Below are 21,261 nucleotides of genomic sequence, written 5' to 3' on the forward strand. Positions count from 1 at the left end.
AGATGCAACCATCACACTTTTTCTGGCGGAAACTCCTTCCCTTCCCATGTGAGGCAGGTAGCACCACCTCCCTTTCACAGGTATGGAAACTCACACAGAGATGGGCAGGGACTTCCTCAAGGTCACCAGAAATAAGGGGCAGAGGCAGACTGACTGTTGGGCACAGGGCTTCTGCTTACAACCTGGATGGGAGTGGGAGGGAGTCTCCCTCCACCGGGGAGTTCTAGCACATTCCTTCCAGGGCCCATTCCCCAGGTCTGGGCCTGGGAGGCTCACATTGGCCTTGTGTCTGCCTTGAGACAAGCCCAGCCTCTTGTGGTCCAAGCCTTCCCACTCTAGTGTCTCTTCTCATTCATCCCATGCGGCAGCTCACAGGGACAGCAGGAGGGGTCTCGGAGTGTCATTTGTTCCTGCCCTCACACCCTTGCTTTGGGGGCTTTCTCCATGACACTCAAGTCAAAACAATACCCTCCTCACCTTGCCACCAAAGGCTGATTCTCTGCCCTCTGCTGAGGAATCCTGGTTTTCTCTTCCCTTCAATTTCTCCTCCTCCTCTCAGGTCTCCGTGGGCCTCCTTTCCATTGCCCCGTCCTGCAGGGCAGGATCTCTCCTTTAATCTCAGACAAAAGCCCTTTATACTTCATAACTAGGAAAGCTTAAAAGTCACTTACATCTCTGAGACTCAGTTTCCCAATTCAAAAAAACAGTTTTAGAGAGAAACAGTCTTCTTATATTCCCATGCTCAGTACAAAGCTTGGCACACAGGAACATAAGAAATGGAAGTTTCCTTCCTCCCTTTTGAGAACCCATCACCTCTCTTCATTGGGATCTCAAAAGTTTTGGTTTTTGGGCGGGGCACGATGGCTCACACCTGGAGTCCCAGCTACCTGGAAGGCTGAGGCCGGAGGATCGCTTGAATGGGAGGCTGCAGTGAGCCATGATGGCACCACTGCACTCGAGCCTGGACAACAGAGCAAGATCCTACCTCAAAAAAAATTAAAAAGTTGTGGTTTTTGGTCTTCAAAGTATACTGGAAAGTTGGGCAAGAGGGGTAATGCTGAGGGTAAAGCTCCTTTGACCAGGGGGCAAAAAAAAAAAAAAAAGCTCCCTCTGCATGGTTTCCTCGTCTGCTCAGCTCCTAGGAGAGTGGCCACAGCATCCAGCCAGAGGCACCAAGCCAAGGTCAGTGACCAGGCCTAGAGCCCAGAGCCTCCTGGGAGGGTAAGTTTAAATGAGTAAATATGGTCCCACCTGGGTGTGGCCAGCGACAGGCCAGAGCTTCGGACATGTCCCTCCCCTCCCAGCCTACAGCAGAAAGAAAAGAAGTCAGACAGGCACAAGTGCCTCCCGCCCCCTTGGCTATCAGGGTCCTGTGCAGAATCAATGAATGCATTCCCCTGTCTCCACACCAGCCAGGACTAACCAGAAGCATAACTTGGCTCTCAGGAAAGAGAGGCTTGTAGCCTCAGCCTCAGGAAAAGGAAAATGTCAGATGAAGAGGGCCTTGGGGATCACCTAGGCCAAGGATCTACCCCCAGATGCCTGATGGCTTAGATGTAGTCTTGATGCCTCACAGTGGCCTTGCTCATCAGGGTGAGCGGGGAGGGCAACAGAGACCAGCGACAAACCACCAAAACACCCAGGTGTTAATCACCGAAAGGCGAAACTCTGTACATCTGGAAAGCTGGGGCCCAAGAGGAGGGACCCGGGGACACACGGTCAGTGTGAGGGGCAGAGGCAGGCTGTGCCAGGAACACAGAGAGGGGCACGTGGGGGAGGGGTAAGGGGCAGGGATGGAAGTCAGCCAAGGCTCCTTGACTCACAAGCCATGCTCTTTATTTTGCAGACAGGGCTCTGCCTGCCCATCTGTGGTCTAACCTTAATCCCTCCTGCTCCAGTCAGCCCTTCTCTCTTCAAAGTTCTTGCTATGCCCTTCGCCTTCTTGCCTCCGGTCCCCTCAACCCCATCCCAACTCTCCAATCCTTTAATCATCTTTGCCATTCACTACCCCCCACCTCCCGCAGTGCAGCAGCTGCTCTGTGGGTGTCTACATACCAGTGTGTATGTGTTGCACACTTTCCTGCATGTGTACCACTAAATGCTGTGGACTGCATTGGGCATGCCTGTCTACATGAGACCCTTATCTAGCTCCCACTACTGGGGGAAAGGGGCCTAATGGCTATTTCTCCCACAGCTCCAGGACAAACGCCTCAGAATACTTTCAGCCATAAGCAGGGAGAGGAAAAAGAAGATAAATATTCCGAGATCCAAATAGCACCGACCCCACCAAGCCAAAGGTCAAGGCCTTTCCTTTCGGGAGAGCCACTGGAAAAGAAAGTGCTTTGAGTTCCCCTCCTTTCCTATGCAAAATTAGAGCCATCTCTCTCCCCCCCAGCTTCCCCACTGGGAAGTTCTTCCTGAAGTCTAAGCTCCATCCTACCTGCTGTGATCATGGATAGACAGAGTGACATCGACCACAATACAGTCAGACGTCCAGCTTCTAGAACACAGCTTCTAGTACCTAACCGCCCCTCCCTCCATGAGTAAGTCACCAAACTGGGACAGAAGGACAGACAGTTGGCCGGACTCCGGCCCCATGACTGGCTCATAAAAGCCACCAGCAATTACAGTGATGCTGAGGTTGTGCCGGCCTGCCACCATTTCCTCCTTCTCTATAAAAAAGAGATAGTTGCCTCAAACCAGCTGGCCTGAGAGAGCCTCGAGAGTCCCAGCCATGGTCCCGTGGGATGGGGAGAATCCCAGCACCACAGTGCCATGAGACTCAGAACCTGACCCTTGATGATGGGTTCCAGGCTCACATCGGATCCTCATACCCACTTATAGAACCTGATGAACACCAACGATGACCTGTGTCCAAGAGGTCAAGGCCTGTATTAAGTCAAGGCCCTCAACTCCTCTTTTCCAGTAAGGCCACCACTCTCTCGACTAGAGGGGCAAAGAAGCAGGGGGCCTGACTCAAATAGAACTAGGGAAATGTTGGGCCCACCCACTTGCTCCTGGACTTCCCTTGTCCCCATAAAGGTACTCAGGTGTGTGGCAAAGTGTCCAACCAAGGGCCCACACCAGGCCAGCGTAAGTCCTGAGATTCTGGATCCAGTGCCAACCAGGGAGAGCAGGGGGCCCAGCTGGTCAGGAAGAGAAAGTTGACAAAATGGGGAGAGGTCCAGGCCTCTCTGGGGGTATAAGAGCCAGGGACGACCACAGCAGAGGGACCCTCTGAGGGCACGGTAGAGGAGAAGGGTCTGAGGGGCTGGGCCATAATCAATGAGGGCCTATCCCCAAGGCCTCCTCGGGGGCCAAGGCACCTCCCACTCCAAGCTTCCTTACTACTGCTCCTTTAGCTCCCCCCAACCTGAAGAGTCTCCCTCTGGCTTCTCTTCCCTATCACATCTCCCAGGAAAGATTAAAAAAAAAAAAAAAAAAAAAAAAAACCCTGCTACAGAGAGATTATATAACAGCAGCCAGAAAGACTATCATATCTCCCAGCCTATGAGAAGAACCAGGAGCCAAGGGGGCAGAGCCAGGATGCCCAGGCCCTCCAGCCCAGGGGCACCAAGCACAGAGTGGGGTGGACACGGACAGCACCTGCCACCCCTCCAAGTCCTCCACCAATCTTTCAGGCATTGAGTACAGCAGACAGAAGCTCTAGCCAATTCCCCATGCCCATCCCCCAACACAAGGATCATGAGGCTCTCTGGGTCCTGCTTCTTCCCTTGGACTGGGGCTTCCATGAACACGGACTGTATGTCTCCCTTCCCAGAATCCCTCCCTACTATGAAGTTGTGCCTAAAAGAGTGGAAAGACGAAAGCTCTGACACAGATTTGCTGTGTGATCTCAGGTAAAAAACTCAACCTTTTGGGTCCCTACAGGGGTGAGTAAAAGCTCCTCCCTTCCTCCCTTCCCCCCTCCCCCCCTTCCCCCCAGAGAGACCAGAGACCTCTCCCTTTACAAATGTACATGCACACACATACATATACACACATATGCAAACATACAGGGTGTGTTGGCGGGGGCAGGGGAGTTACAACAAAGAGAATATAATCACTGAGACCCAAAGGTCCAAATGCCTATGCTGGGGCAAGTGGGGAAGGAGCTCCATATAAGCTCCAGTGTCCCCCAATCACCCCGTATAAAGAGGTCCTCAGCCACTCCCACAATAGTCCTACCCCACCCCCATCTCCTGCCCAACACACTGGGAAACCACAGGAAGGAAATTCATTCCCAGGCAGGGCCGTGGGAGCTGGGACAGCCAGACTAAGTCCTGGGGCGGGTGTGACCCCGTGGCCACAAGCGGGTGGACATCTGTGAACACTGACATGTGCCTTTTCAATGCTCTCCTCAGCTACTGAGACCTTCCTGTTGGGGTTGGGAGAGGAGTGGGAGGTGGACAGCTCCCAAACGCCAAAACACCCAATCTCAGGCTGACCTGCGCTCCCCTCCTATCTCCAGGCCAGAGCAGCCCAAGGTCACCGCCCCAGACGGCAAACTTCCCATAGTCTAGGCTGGACCCTGAATTGCTGCGGAGACCCACTGAAGGGATAGGAGGAGGAGTGGATAAGGGCCACCTCCACCCCAAAGCAAAGAAACCAGGACTCTGAGGAAAACTCAAATGGGGGTTGGGCACAGCAAAGAGGGACACAGGATCCCCCCCAACCCGCTATACCCTCCCCCAACCCATCAACAATGCACCAAGCAATGGGAGGCAGAGGGAGGCTCCCATTCAGAAGGGCAAACCTGGGATAACCCGGTCGGTGGCTTCTAGAGTGCCTTCCTTTCAGGAGGAGTCCTCGGAAGGCTGCTGAGAGGACAGCGTGATTCACTAGGGGGAGGGGGCCCCTTTCCCCATCCCCCTAAGACCCGAACCTGGTAGGAGAGAAGCTGGCATTGGAGTGGGGGACTAAAAGCATTTTGGTCTCCTTGGCCCATCCTCCCAAAAGCCCCCCCAAACTCCCTAAACCCCCGCTCGCAGCCCAGCTCCGCCTGCCATAGGTGGAAAGGACTAGAGAACTCTTGCCCAGATGTTGAACAGCTGCAAACTTCTGGCCAGGGAGTTCTCCAGTTGGGGTTACTGACAAACCACATCAGGGGTCTCGGAAGCGGGGCTAGGAGGTCTCAAGGAAGGGTCCTGCGTGCCCACCTCGTGGCGACTCCGCGTCCCAACTCCACAGGCACCCGGCAAACACGGGCCCCGGAGACACACACACTCACACACCCCAACCCACTACCCCGGTGTCATCTGAACAACATCCCCCCTCCCTCCCCCGCTTCCCAAACAGCTGCGGCTCCCCCCGCCTCCACCCTCCCGCCGCCCTCCCAGGCCCCCTTCTGCACCATTTCGGGCCAAGGAGGAGGGAACAGGCGGCGAGAGGAGGGAGAGGGAGGGAGGGCCGGCTGTTAAAATGTCAGTCGCTCCCGACTGTCACCGGAGACCCCCTCGGAGGATGGCGCCCCGTCCCAGACCGCTCGGAGGCCGTCGTAAACCCCCTACACGAACAGGCGGGCGCGCCCCCAATCCGCCCGTCCCCACCCCGTACTCCCAACACCCAAGGGAATTGCAGCCCACTCCACTTGTCCCCCACGACAGACTCCCTGACACAAACAGTCCCCTAGGTAATCCCCGCCAACGCCACACGAAAACACGGCCCGCTTCGCGAGTTCCTCCCGGCCCGGGGGCTGCCCCATCCCACCCCTCAGGGGGACGGTCTAGACCACCCTCCACCCCAACCCCTGGACCGGGTGGGGGAGGGGGCCTCTTAAAGTGGCAGGCGCATTATTTTTCTCTACTCACCAGCCCGGCTGGGGGAACGGTGTTGTCACGGCAAAGAGCGGGTAGCCCTCGCCCCTGGTCCGGGGGATCTTCAACACCGGGAAGCCGCAGCTCCGGGCGGGGAGAATAATAAATGAGGCCGGCGTCCGCGCGGGCCCTGGGCGGCGCCGTGAGGCCTGGGCCCCCGTCGTGGGCGCGGGGGCCAGCAGGCGGGCGGCAGGCAAGCGGGGAACCGGGGCCGAGCGCCTGAGCCGCCTCGGCTGTTGTTGATATTTTGCTTCCTTCCTCCTTTCGGGCTCCAAAGGTAACTCCTCCAGCCCCCGGGAGTCGAGGCCGACGTAGGCACAGCTCAGCCTAGCTTGAGGGGTGGGGGGAAAGGGGTGACGGACAGGCGTGGGGGCCAATGGGAGGCACCTGTGGGGGTGGCGGGGCGGAGCCGGGGCTGGGGCGGTCCCGAGGACGCGGCCCCGCCCCTCGCTTCCCCAGGGCTGGCCGGGCCAGGCCGGGTCGGCCCCCACCCCACCGCCCTCCCAAGCTAGGCTGCGGCGCTGGGAGCGGCGGATCCCTCCGCCTGCCGGGAGGGAGGGAGGAAGGGACGAAGCGAGGCAAAGTAGGGAGGCGAGACCCAGAGGCCTTTAAAGGGATCGGTCCGCTCCCACGGTGCCCCTCGGAGCACGCCGGCCGCCCGCCCGCCCGCCTGGCGCTGCTGCCACCGCGTGCTCCAGGAGGTCCTTTCCGGGGAGGCCGTGCGAGCTGCACGCACACTCTCAACACGCGCCACCTCGGCACCTCCTCGCGGCCCCGGGCCCCAGGAGAGTTGGGAGGTGGGAGTCTAAGTAGATAAATTAAGGGGAGACTGGAAGTGGTGAAAAGCTCCCATCTCCCCCACTTGGTGTGTGACAAAGCCCCACTCACGGGCGACATTCTTGGGGTTGGGGGGTGTTACCTAGGGAGCTCAGTTGCTCCCTCTACCTGTGACAGGCCCCCTCCGGTCCCAGGGCCCGGCTCGGCAGACGCCCAGCAATTTAAAGCGACAGCTCATAGTTCTTGGGTGACCTAATCTCCAGTGCTTGCGGGGCCCCACAGCACTTACTGCCGAGGGGGCAATTTAAAGGGGCGGGACCCTAATTCCTCCCCACCTCCCGCCGCACAGTAAACACCCAGAAATGTCTTATTAAAGAAGCAGTAGTAGCTCTTTAAAATTTTTTATTTTTATATTCCTGGTTGCTCCAGGGTGTGGTGAATATTTACGTGCCCTACAACAGGAGTGTGGGTGCCATGCCTACTGGACAACTGACCCGTCAGGCTTCAGCATCCCTGTTACTTCCAAGTCCTGCTGCTTTCTCCCAAGAGCGTAAGGAAATGATGGCATCTGGCTTAGATCTCAAAGAACCTTGCAGAACAGAAGGGCACTCACTCAGTTCTTCACACACCCCGAATTTTTTTTTTTTTTTTTTTGAGACGGAGTCTTTCTTCGTCGCCCAGGCTGGAGTGCAGTGGCGCGATCTTGGCTCACTGCAACTTCCGCCTCCCAGGTTCAAGCGATTCTCCTGCCTCGCCTCCCCTCCCGCCTCCCGAATAGCTGGGACGACAGGCGCACGCCCCCACGCCCGGCTAATTTTTTGTGTTTTAGTGGAGATGGGATTTCACCGTGTTACCCAGGCTGGTCTCGAACTCCTGAGCTCAAGCAATCCGCCCGCCTCGGCCTTCCAAAGTGCTAGGATTACAGGCGTGAGCCACCGCGCCCAGACACACACCCTGATTTCTGGCTGGATCTGATTTACCGGACAAAGACTCCAATATATAGAGAGAGGCAACATGTCATTGTGGTTAGAAATGTCAACTTTGCCGTCAAGCTGTCCTGGTTCAGATCCTCACTCCACCATTCATTAGCTGTGAACACAGGCATATTATTTAACTTTCCCCTACCTCATGGTGACCATGACTAGAGATGGTGATAATAGTAGCTAACTCAGAAATTTAGTGTGAAGATTAAATTAGTTCTTCTAAGCAGATTGCTTAGTACAGTGTCTTATGCTGTATAATAACCCAAACCAGACCATTGGGCCAAGGGCTGGTCTGCAAAGAACCCTCTAGGCCTCCATTGGCTCATGCAAGCCTTAAAGGAGGTGAGTTCAGTGGAATTGCTCTGCAAATAGGTTGGAGACTTATCTTGTGTGTCCTAAGACAGGAAGCCAGCAAGCTCCTACTTCCTTGGCCTCAGTTTCCAACCCTTCTACCTGACCCCCCCCTTTCAGGAAACAGTGTCCCACCGTGTCCCCAAATACAGCTTCTCAGTTCCTCATTGGATCTGGGAGGCTGGGGCCCCAACACCAGAAGATGTGAGTTACCCCTGCCAGGCAGGGCTAGTTTGCCCAAAAGACTTCAGGGTAGGCAGGGGGAGCCCATCTGCCTCTTCCCCCAAGGACAGAGAAGAACAGAGCCCTGTGCCAGGCTTGAGGCTGTGGCAGTAGCAGGATGGGAAAGTGCCAACCCCCCTCAAGTGGGGAACCTCCCCTCACTTGTGGCCTCTATTTTTAGTGCTTCCCTAGGCTCTAGCTGGAGAAACCGTTTAGTCATCAGGGTGTTTATTTTCCGGCTGTTTCCGACGTCAGGAAAGCAGAATGTTGAGACTGAAGAGATCCAAGGCTGCTGGAAAAGACTTCTTAGGATCAGGCCTGGGAATTCAGCCGTCAGACCCCTGGGTCCCAGATCACACACACACACAAAAGAAAGTGGGCAGGGGTCAGCCAAGCCCCCAGGAGACCAAGAGAGCTGGGTTCTCAGCCACCTCCAGTTTCGAGGCTCTCCAAGCCGAAGAACCCTCTGGCTCCAGCTCTACTTGAAGGAGTCTCTACAAAAACTAACCAACCCGAGAACAAATTCTTGCCCAGGGCCGATTCCCAGAAACCCCCTCCCCAACATCCTTTATACCAGCGTGGTGAGCCTCCCGCCAACCACAGTTCCAACCAATCTCAAGCCTGAGGTAGGCTTGCCAGGGCTATGATTGGCTGATTGATCCTCCCAGTCTTGGAATGTTGGGTCCTTAACAAAGGAATGAGGAAGGAAGGTGAGTCACCTGGGGAGGGTTTTAAAGGGCCAGGAGCAGGAGGGAAAAGGGAAAGGAGGGAAGAGCTCAGTGGGTGAGATGCAGTGTGCTGGACCCCGAAGATGCTGCCATAATTCCCTAGAGAACAGAGTAGGAAAGACAGACACTACAAGTGGGATAGAATTTAGAATATAGAGAAAACTAAATGGGAGAGCAAAAGTAACAAACACAGGGCCTTAATTCCCATGGAAGGGTAATAAAGGGTCTAGGGAATAATGTTGTTGGAAGTTAGATTGAAATAAGGACTTCCTGAAAGTGACTCACTGAATCTTTTTCTTCTGGCCCCTGTATTTCCCATTCCAGAATCCCCTGGGTAGGAAATACCTGAGCGAGTTCAGATGCCTCGGTCTCATTTTTCCTCCTCCCACTCTGGCTACCCATCCATCTTTCCTAGAGAAAAGTTACCTAACAGGCCAAAGCTGCTATAAAATCCTTTAGGAATCAAACACTTACATGCTCATTGAAGTCTTTTAAAAGTGTGTGTAAACTCCTCTCCACCATATCATCTTTGTAAGTTTATATGGCAAAGGGACATAGACAACTCCTTTTGTTCACCCCTTCCCAAGCATACCTAATCCAACTTAATTTGTAAAAGTCTTCCTCATCCTCATGCCCCAAGGGCCGTTTCTCTGCCTGCCTGTCCCATAGCCCCGGGAAGCCATTACTGCTGCTCCAGCCTCTAATCTGTCTGGCAGCTTGGTTGGCCCCCTCTCACCTTCCCTACAGCCATCTGGACAATCTCCAGCCCCCTATGTCCATCCACCTCATCCCTTCCATTAGCTGATAATTTTTCCCCCAGTTTTCAATTGATCCCGGCAGTCCCTTCATCTGCCACCTTGTCTTGTGAGAGGAAAGGCCATCAGCAGGTATACAGCAGTTCTGTGTATACATGCTCTGTGTGGACTTGGGTATTATTCTGCACCTGCTTGTGTAGTGCACTCTACTCTGTGTATCTGCCTCCTCTGTACACACTCCTCACCAGATCCTGGGCCCCTTGAGGGCAGCAATCTAACTCTACTTTGAGTCTTCAGGGCCTTGCAGGACCTGGCATAGAATGCGCTCAGCAAATGTGTTAACACGAATCTGTATTTGTGTGTGCGTGTGTGTGTGCAGCTATGCATCTGAGTTCAGATTATAAAAACGTTTATTGAACATCTCATTTGTCCATTGATAACTGTGCTAGCCTGAGGATGGGGCTGTGGTCTGGCCTGTCCCACCACCCCGCACAAGTCCCACTTCAGGCCAGAATTGAGGGGAAAGGGCAGAGTCAGGCAGAGAGGTGTCAGGCTGAACCGGCAGAGTTGTGCCCCAAGCTCAGGGCCAGGGTGCCTGGGGCCAGGCCTGGGGCAAAGGGCAGACGGCCCACCCTGGAGCTGAAGCGGGCAGGGAGGGGGTGCCAAAGCCGGGTCCTCGGTCAGTGCATCACCCCCACAGAAGCTCCCTGCCCCCGGCTGGGCAGGATGTGGTGGCAGCTGCAGGAGAGTGGGCAGGATGTGGGGGTGGGGGCAGCTGAAACACAGCCTGACAGTCGTCTCCCCACCAGCTCCTCCCTCCTTCTCTCTTGCCCCCCCCACATCCGCCCCCTCCCGGTCACGTGCTCCCAGCCAGGGCACCGACGGACTATTTCCCCCTTTCCGCGGAAGGACATAATTGTCATCGCAAACTCTAGTCGCCGCCGACTTCAGCTGTACCACGCCTTTTTCTTGCCCCATAACCCAGGACAGAAAGTTTGCCGAATACGCATTTCTTTAAAGCCCTGATCGCTAACGAGGGAGTGGCCCCTTTAAATGCAAATTAACCGCCTTCTCTCTCGCCCCCCCACCCCCATCCCAACTTCGCTCCTCGTGCCCAGACTCCACCAGCTGCCATTGACGTCACGCGTGCGTCAGCGTCGCCAGCCCAACCAGACGGCACATGGGGGGAAGAAGGCAGACTTAAAGGGCCAGACGCTCGCGGCCTGCCAGGTTTTGGCTATGAGACTTGGCTTGGGAGGAACGAAATGGGATGTGGGGAAATGTCTTGGAGCAGAAAGGAATGCAGGGTAGAGCCGGGCGCGGTGGCTCACGCCTGCAATCCCATCACTTTGGGAGGCCGAGGCGGGCGGATCACGAGGTCAGGAGTTCGAGACCAGTCTGGCCAATATGGTGAATCCCCGTCTCTACTAAAAATACAAAAATTAGCCTGGCGTGGTGGCGCGCGCCTGTAGTCCTAGCTACTCGGGAGGCTGAGGCAGAAGGATCGCTTGAGCCCGGGAGGCAGAGGTTGCAGTGAGCCGAGATTGTGCCACTGCACCCCAGCCTGGGCGACAGGGCGAGACTCCATCTCAAAAACAAGAAAAAGGAAATGCAGGGTAGACGTTTAGAAGGACTTCCCAGAGTAGGAGAGTATATTTGCTCATGGGAGAGAAACCCAGGAGCAGGAGGAGCAGAACCACTGTGAAAGTGGAGGCTTGGCATTTAAGACTCGCCCAGTCATAATTTCAGCCTTTCCCTTATCCCTGCCCCGCATGTGCATAAGCACAAGGACTTCGTTCACTTCTGTGTTGCCAGCACCTAGAACGCAGCATGTAGTAGGGACTCAATTTAAGTCCAGTCCTTCCTCCTTACCTGATGGGGTATTGGTTCCGGGACATCTCCCATAGGAAAATCTGCTGAATCTGTGAGATAGTGTAACATTTGCATGTGACCTATGCGCCACCTCCGATACACTTTAAATCATCTCTAGATAACTTATAGTATCTAATACAATGTAAATGCTATGAAAATAGTTGTTATACCATATTGCTTAAGGAACAATGACAAGAAAAAAGGTCTGTTCAGATGCAATTTTTTTTCTGAATATTGACCATCCAAGGTTGGTTGAATCCACGGATGCACAGTATTTGTAGAATGAATGAACTGATCCATTGAGTCCAATGCAAAGCCACCTCCTTTAGGAGGCTTTCCCTGATTGCTCCACCCAGCATGCATAGCACAAACACGCTCAGCTAAAGACAATTGAACTGTCTTTTGAACGCTCACAGCAAATAATAAACCTGTTGCTTCCTTCCATGCATTAGAGACCATGAGAGCAGTTGTTAAGAGCACAGAACTAGGAATAATATAAACTTGGGTTCCAATTCCATTAATACTGTTTACTAGTTGAGTGACCTTAGACAAGTCTCTTCATCTTAGTTGTAATAACTGTCCTTTGGGGTTAATGCTACTTAGACCTAGACTTGCTGTTTGAATTAAATGCAACCATTTCTGTGAAGTTCTAGTATGGTACCTGTTGCATAGTAAGCATTCAATAATTGTGGGGGGTAGGTTTTAACATGGCCCTCTCCCCTACTAAAGTGTGAGCTTCTTGAGAACAAGGACCTTGCCATCCTGAATTACTCCCCAGCATCAAGCTGGGGGATAAAGGCTTATAATTGGTGCTTTAAAAATGTTTTTGGCCAGGTGCAGTGGCTCACACTTGTAATCCCAACACTTTGGAAAGCCAAGATGGGAGGATCACTTGAGGCCAGGAGTTCAAGACCAGCTTGGTCAACATAGTGAGAAATTGTCTCTATTTAAAAAAAAAAAAAAAAAGGCCGGGTGCGGTGGCTCACACCTGTAATTCCAGCACTTTGGGAGGCTGAGGCGGGCGGATCACGAGATCAGGAGATCAAGACCATCCTGACCAACATGGTGAAACCCCGTATCTACTAAAATACAAAAAAATTAACCAGGTGTGGTGGCCCGCGCCTGTAGTCCCAGCTACTCAGGAGGCTGAGGCAGGGGAATTTCTTGAACTGGGGAGGCGGAGGTTGCAGTGAGCCGAGATCACGCCACTGCACTCCAGCCTGGCGACACAGCGAGACACCGTCTCAAGGAGAAAAAAAAAGTTTCTAAAATGAATAAAAATGACAGAGTGAAGCCGGGCAGGGTGGCTTTCATTTGTCATCCCAGGTTCTCAGGGGCAGAGGCAGGAAGATCCCTTGAGCCCAGGAGTTTGAGACCAGCCTGGGTAACATAGCGAGACATCATCTCTTAAATAAAAATTTAAAACATTAAATGAATATGTGAACAATTTCAGTATTCCCTGAAATTTGACCTCCAAACTCAAATCTGAAGTTGTTATCCAAAGGAAGAAAACATTATAAATACCCCCTTACCACCTGTTGTGCCCCTCTGTGCCCCAGGTTTTAAGGCTCTGTGGTAGAACCTCAAGGTAGAGTTGAGGTTAATCTCTGCAGTTGAACTAAAAGTACTGTATTATGCAAACAAGTCACAGAGGATTGGTCTGCGATGAAGACCTGGGTGGGAAAGGGGGCTTCTGACCTCTCCTCATCCCCGGCTTAGCTACTGAAACCCTGTCCCAAGAAACCCAGGCTGGGCTTCTGCCAAGGACAGCGGACACTAAAAGAGAGCTGGAAAAGGGGAGCTTTTCATCCAAACACTAACCCACCTTTGAGCTTTTCTTCTCTGGAGCCTCATCTTACTCCTCGACCCCGAGCCAGTTCCTCTCCTGTCCCTAGCTCTGGCTCCCACTCCCCACCCCAACCTTCATTCCCTCCACAGCTCCCCAGTGGTTATAGTGGAGGGGGGACGAGACCTCCTATCACCTGGTTCCGGCTCCTTGGCCAGAGGAGCAGTAGCCACCTTGTCCTTGTTCAGCCTGTCTTGCAGCTGCTTATCGATCTGATTTTCAATATCTGTCACCATCTCAGAAGTAGAAGGCCTGACAGGCAACAGGAGGGACTTCCTGCCAGGGGAATAGCTATGATCAGAAGGCAGTGAGAGCCCTCTCTTTCCTTGAGGAGGAGGAAGAAATGGTGAGACCCTCCTCTGGCTGAGAGCAACCTCCTCAACACAAGGAACCCTGGGGGTGTGGGTGGGTTTCCCCCCACAGGAATCTCCCATCAGCCTTGATGTTAGCTCCGCCCCCCTGCAGGGGTGGGGTGACACCCAGGAGCACTGTGTTCCAGAAAACCCCAAAATAACCTGCTTTCACTGTCCGGCTGCTATTTCTGTCCATCTTGTTTAATTATTCAAACCTAAGTTGGGGAGTGAACTATAAAAAGCTCTCCTACTTGGGGACCCAGGAGAGCTGGGAGGCTCGCCAGGTTGCAATAGCAGCAGACCACAGTGTTTGGGTGAGGTCACTTGGTCCGGCCTCCGGCCTAAAAGTTCCTTCTGCTGTTTCGCTGCTTCCTCTGCTAGAAGGCAGAACCCAGGCCTCCCTCCCAAAGTTCCCTTGTGCCCTCACTTCAGCACCCCTCCAGCCCCTATCCTGCCTGGGAGCTGTCCTCCACCCCACCCCACTTGACTCTGGCCATACTTATTCTCAGCTGTCCCTTTGCCAACCTGCTCCCTAGTTCAGGATTCTTAACCCACAGATAATATCATTAGACCCAAACATCAGCAGTGGAGGGAGGTGGGATGGCAGAGGACTAGTTTAGTGGACACAGAGATGGCACCAGGCCCTTGGGTGGCATCACCATCAGCTGGGGGTGGAGAACACTGTTCTGGGTGGGGCAGTTCTTGGCTGTCACGGGTGCTGAGCCTCTTCAGGAGCTTCTCTTTGGAACTCTGACATGGTAGCCGAAGGGATGGAGGTAAGGCAGTCCTTCTTTTCTTTTCTGGGCCTGGTCCTCTTCTAATTGGACTAGGCTGAAGTCCAATGTCAGTTTCCATTGAAACAGAAGCACAGGGCAGGCTAAGTGAGAAAGGCAGGTCTCCCTGAGGGCCACTTCTGTGACCCTCCTACCACAGGCCTTTCCTAAAAAGGTAGTAACAAAGGATTATAGTCATGGTGGCTCTAGCAATGTGGGGTTGTCACAATAAGCAGCCCTTGAGGGTGGGAATGAGGGGATTCTTGCTAGTGAGGGAGAGACTGGCAGTTACACAGCTTGAGCAGGAAGAAGGGCAAGAGAGACTGTGGCAGCCACAGAGACCCAGAGACCCACACATGGACAGGAGTTATAGGATGGGCAGAAGGACAAGGGGCAGCAAAAGTGACACTTGAGCCCCAAGAGAGGGAGAGACCCCAGGAGCAGACCCAGAGACCCACGGCAGACAGAGGGGCAGACAGCCGAGAGCACAGAAGTGGAGTAAGAGGCCCAGTGTGGGAGGGAGACGCAGCAGCCTGGCAGAAGCTGGGGACAGGGGAGCATGGCAGGGCTTTCCAAGAGTCAGTGTGGGACCTGAGTATTTAAAAAAGCCTTGGGTTTCACACTCAGGCCTATTTTGGGGCTTGTTCCCACACATCTCCGTCAGCAGCAGTGGCAGCTCCTGCGAGGTCCAGCCCAGCTCTCCCTTTCACAGCTGCTCCTTGCGCTGCTGGGGGAGGTTGCTGAGGTATGGGGAAGAGGTACGCTGTCGCTAAGCAACAAGAGGCTGTGCACCTGGAGGTCCTAGGAGGAGACCCTGGCACCATCGGTATGGGGGAGGCAGGGAGACAGTAAAGGGTTGATCAAGCTCAAGGCTCCCTCTCCCATCCTCCCCAAGACAGTTACAGAGGAGGGATGTACCCATCGCTCAAGAAGCCTGTTGAATTGGCTCACAATCCTCCAGAAGGCTGCGATTGTGCATGCAAACCTGTGTGACATTCCATAGACTGAGAGTTGGAGAGGGCAGGGGCTAGGGCATGAAAGACAAGGGTGAGCATCTTTCACATCAATCTTGGAGGAAGGTCGAGGACTTGCCTGTCTGCTAAAAGGTAGGAACTTCCATGGAAGTGTAAAGGTCTGAGGGCGGAAACTTAGTAGGGAGGCGACAGAATGGGAAGGGAAGCCGGTTGGACCCTGGGGCAGCCTCCCAGTCACAGAGGCTACCAAGGAGCCTACACAGAAGGGAGGTGGCAGGGCAGCAGGGGCCCCACACCCATCAGCCATCTGCTGGAATTCTCAGTGTCCTCAAAGCTGAAGTGCTGCACTGTATGCCGTTATTTTTCTTCTCTTTTATTATTGTTTTTTGGTGGACTGGAGTTTGAATGAGGTAACGATCAAGAGGGAAAGACTCGTCGATTGACCCTGTCACCCGCCTCACTGCATCTCTAACAGGCCTGTAGCCCTGTAAACGTGAGGAGCAGCTCAGGGTTGACAGAGGGCCATTGCCTCCCTTTTTCTGTCACTTCCTCCATTGCCTCAACCCCTGTCCAGAAGAGCGCACCTTCATTCAACAAGCATGGATCAAGCACTCGTGACGTGCCAGCCAGGGCGCTGGGGAAATGATGAGGGTTGGGTTCCGTGGTGGCCGACACCCAGCCCCTCCTCCACAGTGCCTGTCTCCTTGCTGGTATCTTGGCAGGCTCCCGTTCTCCCATCAGACGCTACACTCACACATGCTGCACATACTGGTGAATAGCTTCTTGCAGTCCATCCTGGCACGGTCCCCAAATTCCGCAGGGAACAGGGTGTGCTTCAGCCCTCTCCCTCTCTCACTAAGGGCTAGGAAGTTTTGAGTCTTCCATCTCACACACCCCAGAGGCTGCGTTGCCGAGAAGACACAGGGGCAATGTGAGGCCTTCTTATTCCTGACCCACGAGAACGATGCCAAGTTGGGGACAAGAAGGGTAGAGGCTTGTTTTGCTTTCATTCCTGCTTTATGCCAGGCACTCTGAAAGGCATTGTGTACACTATTTTCATCATCAGACAATAGCCCATAATACTTTGTCTGACATCTGACAAAGAACGATCAGCCTCATTTTACAGATGGTGAAACTGAAGGAGCATGTTCATGTTCATACAGCACAAAGTGGCTCTGGGATTTCAACCCATAGAGGAGTGTTAGAATAATACCCTCACAAATTCAATGTTGAAAGTGCTAATGAAGTCCGGGCGCGGTGCCTCATGCCTGTAATCCCAGCACTTTGGGAGGCCAAGGCGGGCAGATCACCTGAGGTCAAGAGTTTGAGACCAGCCTGACCAACATGGAGAAACCCCGTCTCTACTAAAAATACAAAATTATCCGGGCGTGGTAGCACATGCCTGTAGTCCCAGCTACTTGGGAGGCTGAGGCAGGAGAATTGCTTGAACTTGGGAGGTGGAGGTTGCAGTGAGCTGAGATTGCGCCACTGCACTCCAGCCTGGGCGACAGAGCGAGACTCCATCTCAAAAAATAAATAAATAAATAATAAATAAATAAAATAAAAAAAGTGCTAATGAGACAGAAAAGGGCACTGAAAGATCCGGTCACCCAGGGACCTCTCAATTGCTCAGATTTGGAGAAGGTGGGGAGAGAAGATTGCGTCAAACAGACCTGAGATCCGATCCCAGCTCAGTCATTTCCAGCTGTGTGACCTTGGGTGAGTCACTCGCTTTTTCTGAATCTCGGTTTTCTCAATGATGATGTGACAGCAATGTTCATGAGGTGCTGCCAAAATTACAATAGATCATGTAAACTATGTGCAATGTACTTCGTTGCCTTGCAGCAATGGATGGCGCCTCTCCTTCCATCCTCTACAGAAGGAGGAAGAGGTAAGCAAGAACAAATTCAAGAGGGTGCAAATCTGCTGGTATAGTATCAGGAAGCCCAAAGCCTGGCAGAGGTTTGTAGAACAGGCAAAGGATAGCAAAAGGCTCTCTCTCAAGGGGGCGTGGGGGTGGGGGGTGGAAGGAGGGCACTGGGGTGGGGAGTCATTTTTGGAGCAAGAGTTTCAAGAAAAGCCAAAAAAGGGACCTCTGCTGGAGCAGGTAGAGTAATGGTGACAGATGACAGAGTGAATAGAACTCCCAACTCCTATTTTCTTCCCATTTCTCTCCTAAGACAGATGTTTAAAGTGGAAATAAGAGAATTGGAGTTCTGAAAATGTGAGAATCAAATCTACAGCCCCATTTGTTCAGTGACTTCCTATCTCCACCCCGTGAAGTTCACCAGAGGCACCGAGGGAACTTGCCCAGATGGTTGTGGTGGCATTGTCCCTGGTGTGTGAGGAATTTTGGAGAATACAAGAGGTGTAAAACTACTGTAGATGAAAATAGGAGGTTCTAATCTTTAAGAAGAGGGAAAGATATTTTCAAAATTCTGGGGTTTCATTACCACAACTGTTGTGGAAGGTTAGAGAAAAAAAGAGGGACCATCAGGAGCTAGATGGGGTTCACTAATTAATCCCCGACTACTCAAGTGAGAATGGGCATCACCTGGGAGACTGTCAGAACGTCAAGAGGATCCCACTCCACTCCGCACCTGTGAATCACAGTTTGCACTTAACAAGAGGCATAGATGAGTCAAATGTACATTCAAGACCAAGATGCACACCATAACCTGTTCGTTTTTGTTTGTTTGTTTGTTTGTTTTTGAGACGGTCTTGCTCTGTCACCCAGGCTGGAGTGCAATGGCGCGATCTCAGCTCACTGCAACCTCTGTCTCCCGGGTTCAAGCGATTGTCCTGCCTCCACTTCGTGAGTAACTGGAATTACAGGGGTGCATCACCATGCCTGGCTAATTTTTGTATTTTTAGTAGAGACAAGATTTCACCATGTTGAGGCTAGTCCCGAACTCCTGAGCTCGTGATCTGCCCTCCTCAGCCTCCCAAAGGGCTGGGATTACAGGTGTGAGCCACTGTGCCCAGCCCGTAACCTGTTCTTCAACCCTATAAGTAGGTGAGTGATTGTAAAGGTGCCATGGAAAGCTAAAAGTTCCTTCAGGAACCTCTTCCTCCAGGAGAGGATTGGAGGGGCACTGTGCAGGGCGGGGTTCTGCCTCCTTTGCCCCATGGTTTCGTTCACTTGTTTTACACAGTGGGCTTCCAACTAAACTTTCCTTTGAAGAGCCGGGCCACAGCCAAAGATGTTTGAAAATCGTCTGTGCTGTGTTATGGAACATCTGTGCTATGGAATGTTGCACAGCCTTACGAGGCATGAACTGGATCTGGGCCCACTGACAGAATGGTCCCAGAGACAAATTGTTTAGTGAAAAAAGCAAGTCTCAGGCCGGGCATGGTGGCTCACATCTGTAATCCCAGTGCTTTGGGAGGCCAAGGCGGGCAGGTCACCTGAAGTCAGGAGTTCGAGACGAGCCTGGCCAACATGGTGAAACCCTGTCTCTACTAAAAATACAAAAATTAGTTGAGTGTGGTGGCAGGTGCCTCTAATTCCAGCTACTTGGATGGCTGAGACACAAGAATCGCTTGAACCAGGAAGGTGGAGGTTGCAGTGAGCCGAGATCACACCACTGCACTCTAGCCTGGGTGACAGAGTGAGACTCCATCTCAAAAAAAAAAAAAAAGAAAAAAAAGAAAGAAAGCAAAAAGCAAAAAGCAGCCGCCAGGCACAGTGGCTCACGCCTATAATCTCAGCACTTTGGGAGGTCAAGTCGGGTGGATTACCTGAGGTCGGAAGTTCAAGACCAGCCCAACCAACATGGAGAAACCCCGTTTCTACTAAAAATACAAAATTAGGACCGGGCGTGGTGGTTCACGCCTGTAATCCCAGCACTTTGGGAGGCTGAGGTGGGTGGATCACCTGAGGTCAGGAGTTCGAGACCAGCCTGACCAACATGGTGAAACCCTGTCTCTACTAAAAAAAAAAAAAAAAAAAAAAAAAATTAGTTGGGCATGGTGGCAGGCACCTGTAATCCCAGCTACTCGGGAGGCTGAGGCAGGAGAATTGCTTGAGCCCAGGAGGCAGAGGTTGCAGTGAGCAGAGATCGAGCCACTGCACTCCAGCCTGGGCAACAGAGCAAGACTTCGTCTTAAAAAAAAAAAACAACAGAAAAACAAAAACAAAATTAGCTGGGCATGGTGGCAGGCACCTGTAATCCCAGCTACTCAGGAGGCTGAGGCAGGAGACTGGCTTGGACCCCGGAGGCGGAGATTGCGGTGAGCTGAGATTGCGCCACTGCACTTCAGCCTGGGCAACAAGAGCGAAACTCCGTCTCAAAAAAAAGAAAAAAAAAAAAAAGGCCAGGCGCGGTGGCTCATGCCTGTAATCCTAGCACATTGGGAGGCCAAGGCGGGCAGATCAGAGGTCAGGAGATCGAGACCATCCTGGCTAACACGGTGAAACCCCGTCTCTACTAAAAAATACAAAAAATTAGCTGCGCGTGGTGGCGGGCGCCTGTAGTCCCAGCTACTCAGGAGGCCGAGACAGGAGAATGGCGTGAACCCGGGAGGCAGAGCTTGCAGTGAGCCGAGTTCGTGCCACTGCACTCCAGCCCGGGTGACAGGGCGAGACTCTGTCTCAGAAAAAAAAAGAAAAAAGAAAAAAGTAATTCTCAGTGCAATCTATAGAATAGGCTATTTATGTAAATAAGCATGTATAGGTATGTGTGTATTCATCAACTATCTATACTAAGTGACTTAAAACAGCAATGACTGCTTTTGGTTTTGGGGATTGACTGGGTTCCACCAGGTGATTTTCCCTCAGAGTCTCATGCTGTTGCAGTCTGACAGGGTTTGGATCGGGGGTCTCAAAGTCTTCTTCACATGTCTGCCACCGAGGCTGGGAACACTCAAGCAGGTGGAGTCCAGAACAGCTACAGTCTCTTTCTCTCTCTGGTCTCTCCTTGTGGTCCTTGTGGTCTCTCCAGCACGGTGGTTCAGGGTAGTCAGCCTTCTTACAAGGAGGACTAGGGCTCCAAGGACATTATTCTGAGATAGAGAGCTAAGGGGAATCAATATTGCTTTTTATGACCTAGCCTTGGGTGTCACCCAGCATCACTGTCATACATTAGTGGAGGCAGTCACAGAGGCCTGCTCATGTTCTAGGGTAGAGGACAGAGCCTTCCACCTCATGGAGAGGCTCCAAACCTCAGGGTTTTCGAAGAGCCCATGGAATGGGAAATGTCGTGGCCATATTTGGAAAATACATTCTGCCAGAATATGAACATATATATGAGGGCAAATGTATAGAAAGAAGGCCTGGAAGGATCTATACCAAATTATCAATAAGGCTTATTTTTGGGGAAGATGCAGATATATTTTACCTTACTTTGTACATATGACTTGAATCTTTTACATTGAGATGATATATACATTATTTCATTTGTTTAATGAGAAGGGAACTCAGAAAAAAATTGCTGTAGGCTTTTTATAATAAAAGGGTTTAATAGATGGTATTTCTGAGGAGTGTTGCATAATGCATCTGAATTTTATGAAAGCATTTCATTAGGTTGATTATATTATCTTTTTAAAAAGATGCAGGAACATGGACAGCATTACTCATTCGTTTAACAAATAGTCAGTGAATGCCTACTGTGTGTTAATGGAACAGCTATACCCAGAAAATCTTGTTAATAAATCTGCGTCAGCTTGGAGAGATATCACTGCTAGCTCCATCCATTGCCCTGTCCTGGTTAGCACTTTTGTCTGGAAAGAGAAAAGTCAGATTTGGCAAGAAGGTGGCTTATTGGCGCAAAAACACTTGAATATATTAGATTAAAACAGTGTCAAATGTTC

At 52.3% G+C, this 21,261-nt stretch overlaps 1 protein-coding gene across 21 annotated transcripts in view, besides 10 other annotated features; it reads right to left on the reverse strand.

Annotated features, from left to right (window-relative positions):
* The window catches only part of MEF2D (myocyte enhancer factor 2D), a 37,049-nt gene extending 30,949 nt beyond the window's left edge, over positions 1-6,100 (reverse strand). For 8 of the 21 annotated variants that reach the window (XM_047421004.1, XM_047421009.1, XM_005245169.5 and 5 more), the window contains exon 1: positions 5,811-6,100. The gene's annotated coding sequence lies outside the window, so the exon portion shown is untranslated. Of the gene's footprint in view, positions 1-477; positions 1,087-1,251; positions 3,426-4,756; positions 5,206-5,810 lie in introns of those variants that run through there. The other 13 variants (XM_017001315.2, XM_006711330.4, XM_047421005.1 and 10 more) reach the window with 10 other exon arrangements.
* Positions 1,344-1,513: an enhancer, noted in NCBI's record as "active region_1867". NCBI's record gives its function as "activates an Ori minimal core promoter by ATAC-STARR-seq in GM12878 lymphoblastoid cells {active_cell/tissue: GM12878}" and the evidence as "EXISTENCE:reporter gene assay evidence [ECO:0000049][PMID:35858748]".
* Positions 1,704-2,204: an enhancer, noted in NCBI's record as "H3K4me1 hESC enhancer chr1:156466171-156466671 (GRCh37/hg19 assembly coordinates)". NCBI's record gives its function as "activates a minimal SCP1, AML or CMV promoter by ChIP-STARR-seq in naive and primed H9 embryonic stem cells {active_cell/tissue: H9 hESC(naive and primed)}" and the evidence as "EXISTENCE:reporter gene assay evidence [ECO:0000049][PMID:30033119]".
* Positions 5,899-6,548: a silencer, noted in NCBI's record as "silent region_1428". NCBI's record gives its function as "represses an Ori minimal core promoter by ATAC-STARR-seq in GM12878 lymphoblastoid cells {active_cell/tissue: GM12878}" and the evidence as "EXISTENCE:reporter gene assay evidence [ECO:0000049][PMID:35858748]".
* Positions 6,578-7,357: an enhancer, noted in NCBI's record as "H3K27ac-H3K4me1 hESC enhancer chr1:156471045-156471824 (GRCh37/hg19 assembly coordinates)". NCBI's record gives its function as "activates a minimal SCP1, AML or CMV promoter by ChIP-STARR-seq in primed H9 embryonic stem cells {active_cell/tissue: H9 hESC(primed)}" and the evidence as "EXISTENCE:reporter gene assay evidence [ECO:0000049][PMID:30033119]".
* Positions 9,725-9,774: a silencer, noted in NCBI's record as "silent region_1429". NCBI's record gives its function as "represses an Ori minimal core promoter by ATAC-STARR-seq in GM12878 lymphoblastoid cells {active_cell/tissue: GM12878}" and the evidence as "EXISTENCE:reporter gene assay evidence [ECO:0000049][PMID:35858748]".
* Positions 9,885-9,964: an enhancer, noted in NCBI's record as "active region_1868". NCBI's record gives its function as "activates an Ori minimal core promoter by ATAC-STARR-seq in GM12878 lymphoblastoid cells {active_cell/tissue: GM12878}" and the evidence as "EXISTENCE:reporter gene assay evidence [ECO:0000049][PMID:35858748]".
* Positions 10,466-10,868: a silencer, noted in NCBI's record as "fragment chr1:156474933-156475335 (GRCh37/hg19 assembly coordinates)". NCBI's record gives its function as "represses an EF-1alpha promoter that drives an FKBP-Casp9 reporter gene in an ReSE screen in phorbol 12-myristate 13-acetate-treated (for megakaryocytic differentiation) K562 erythroleukemia cells {active_cell/tissue: K562(+PMA)}" and the evidence as "EXISTENCE:reporter gene assay evidence [ECO:0000049][PMID:32094911]".
* Positions 13,338-13,387: an enhancer, noted in NCBI's record as "active region_1869". NCBI's record gives its function as "activates an Ori minimal core promoter by ATAC-STARR-seq in GM12878 lymphoblastoid cells {active_cell/tissue: GM12878}" and the evidence as "EXISTENCE:reporter gene assay evidence [ECO:0000049][PMID:35858748]".
* Positions 13,498-13,547: an enhancer, noted in NCBI's record as "active region_1870". NCBI's record gives its function as "activates an Ori minimal core promoter by ATAC-STARR-seq in GM12878 lymphoblastoid cells {active_cell/tissue: GM12878}" and the evidence as "EXISTENCE:reporter gene assay evidence [ECO:0000049][PMID:35858748]".
* Positions 19,005-19,211: a silencer, noted in NCBI's record as "fragment chr1:156483472-156483678 (GRCh37/hg19 assembly coordinates)". NCBI's record gives its function as "represses an EF-1alpha promoter that drives an FKBP-Casp9 reporter gene in an ReSE screen in K562 erythroleukemia cells {active_cell/tissue: K562}" and the evidence as "EXISTENCE:reporter gene assay evidence [ECO:0000049][PMID:32094911]".

The sequence above is a fragment of the Homo sapiens genome, chromosome 1 (genome assembly GCF_000001405.40).
Source record: "Homo sapiens chromosome 1, GRCh38.p14 Primary Assembly".
Classification (NCBI taxonomy): domain Eukaryota; kingdom Metazoa; phylum Chordata; class Mammalia; order Primates; family Hominidae; genus Homo; species Homo sapiens.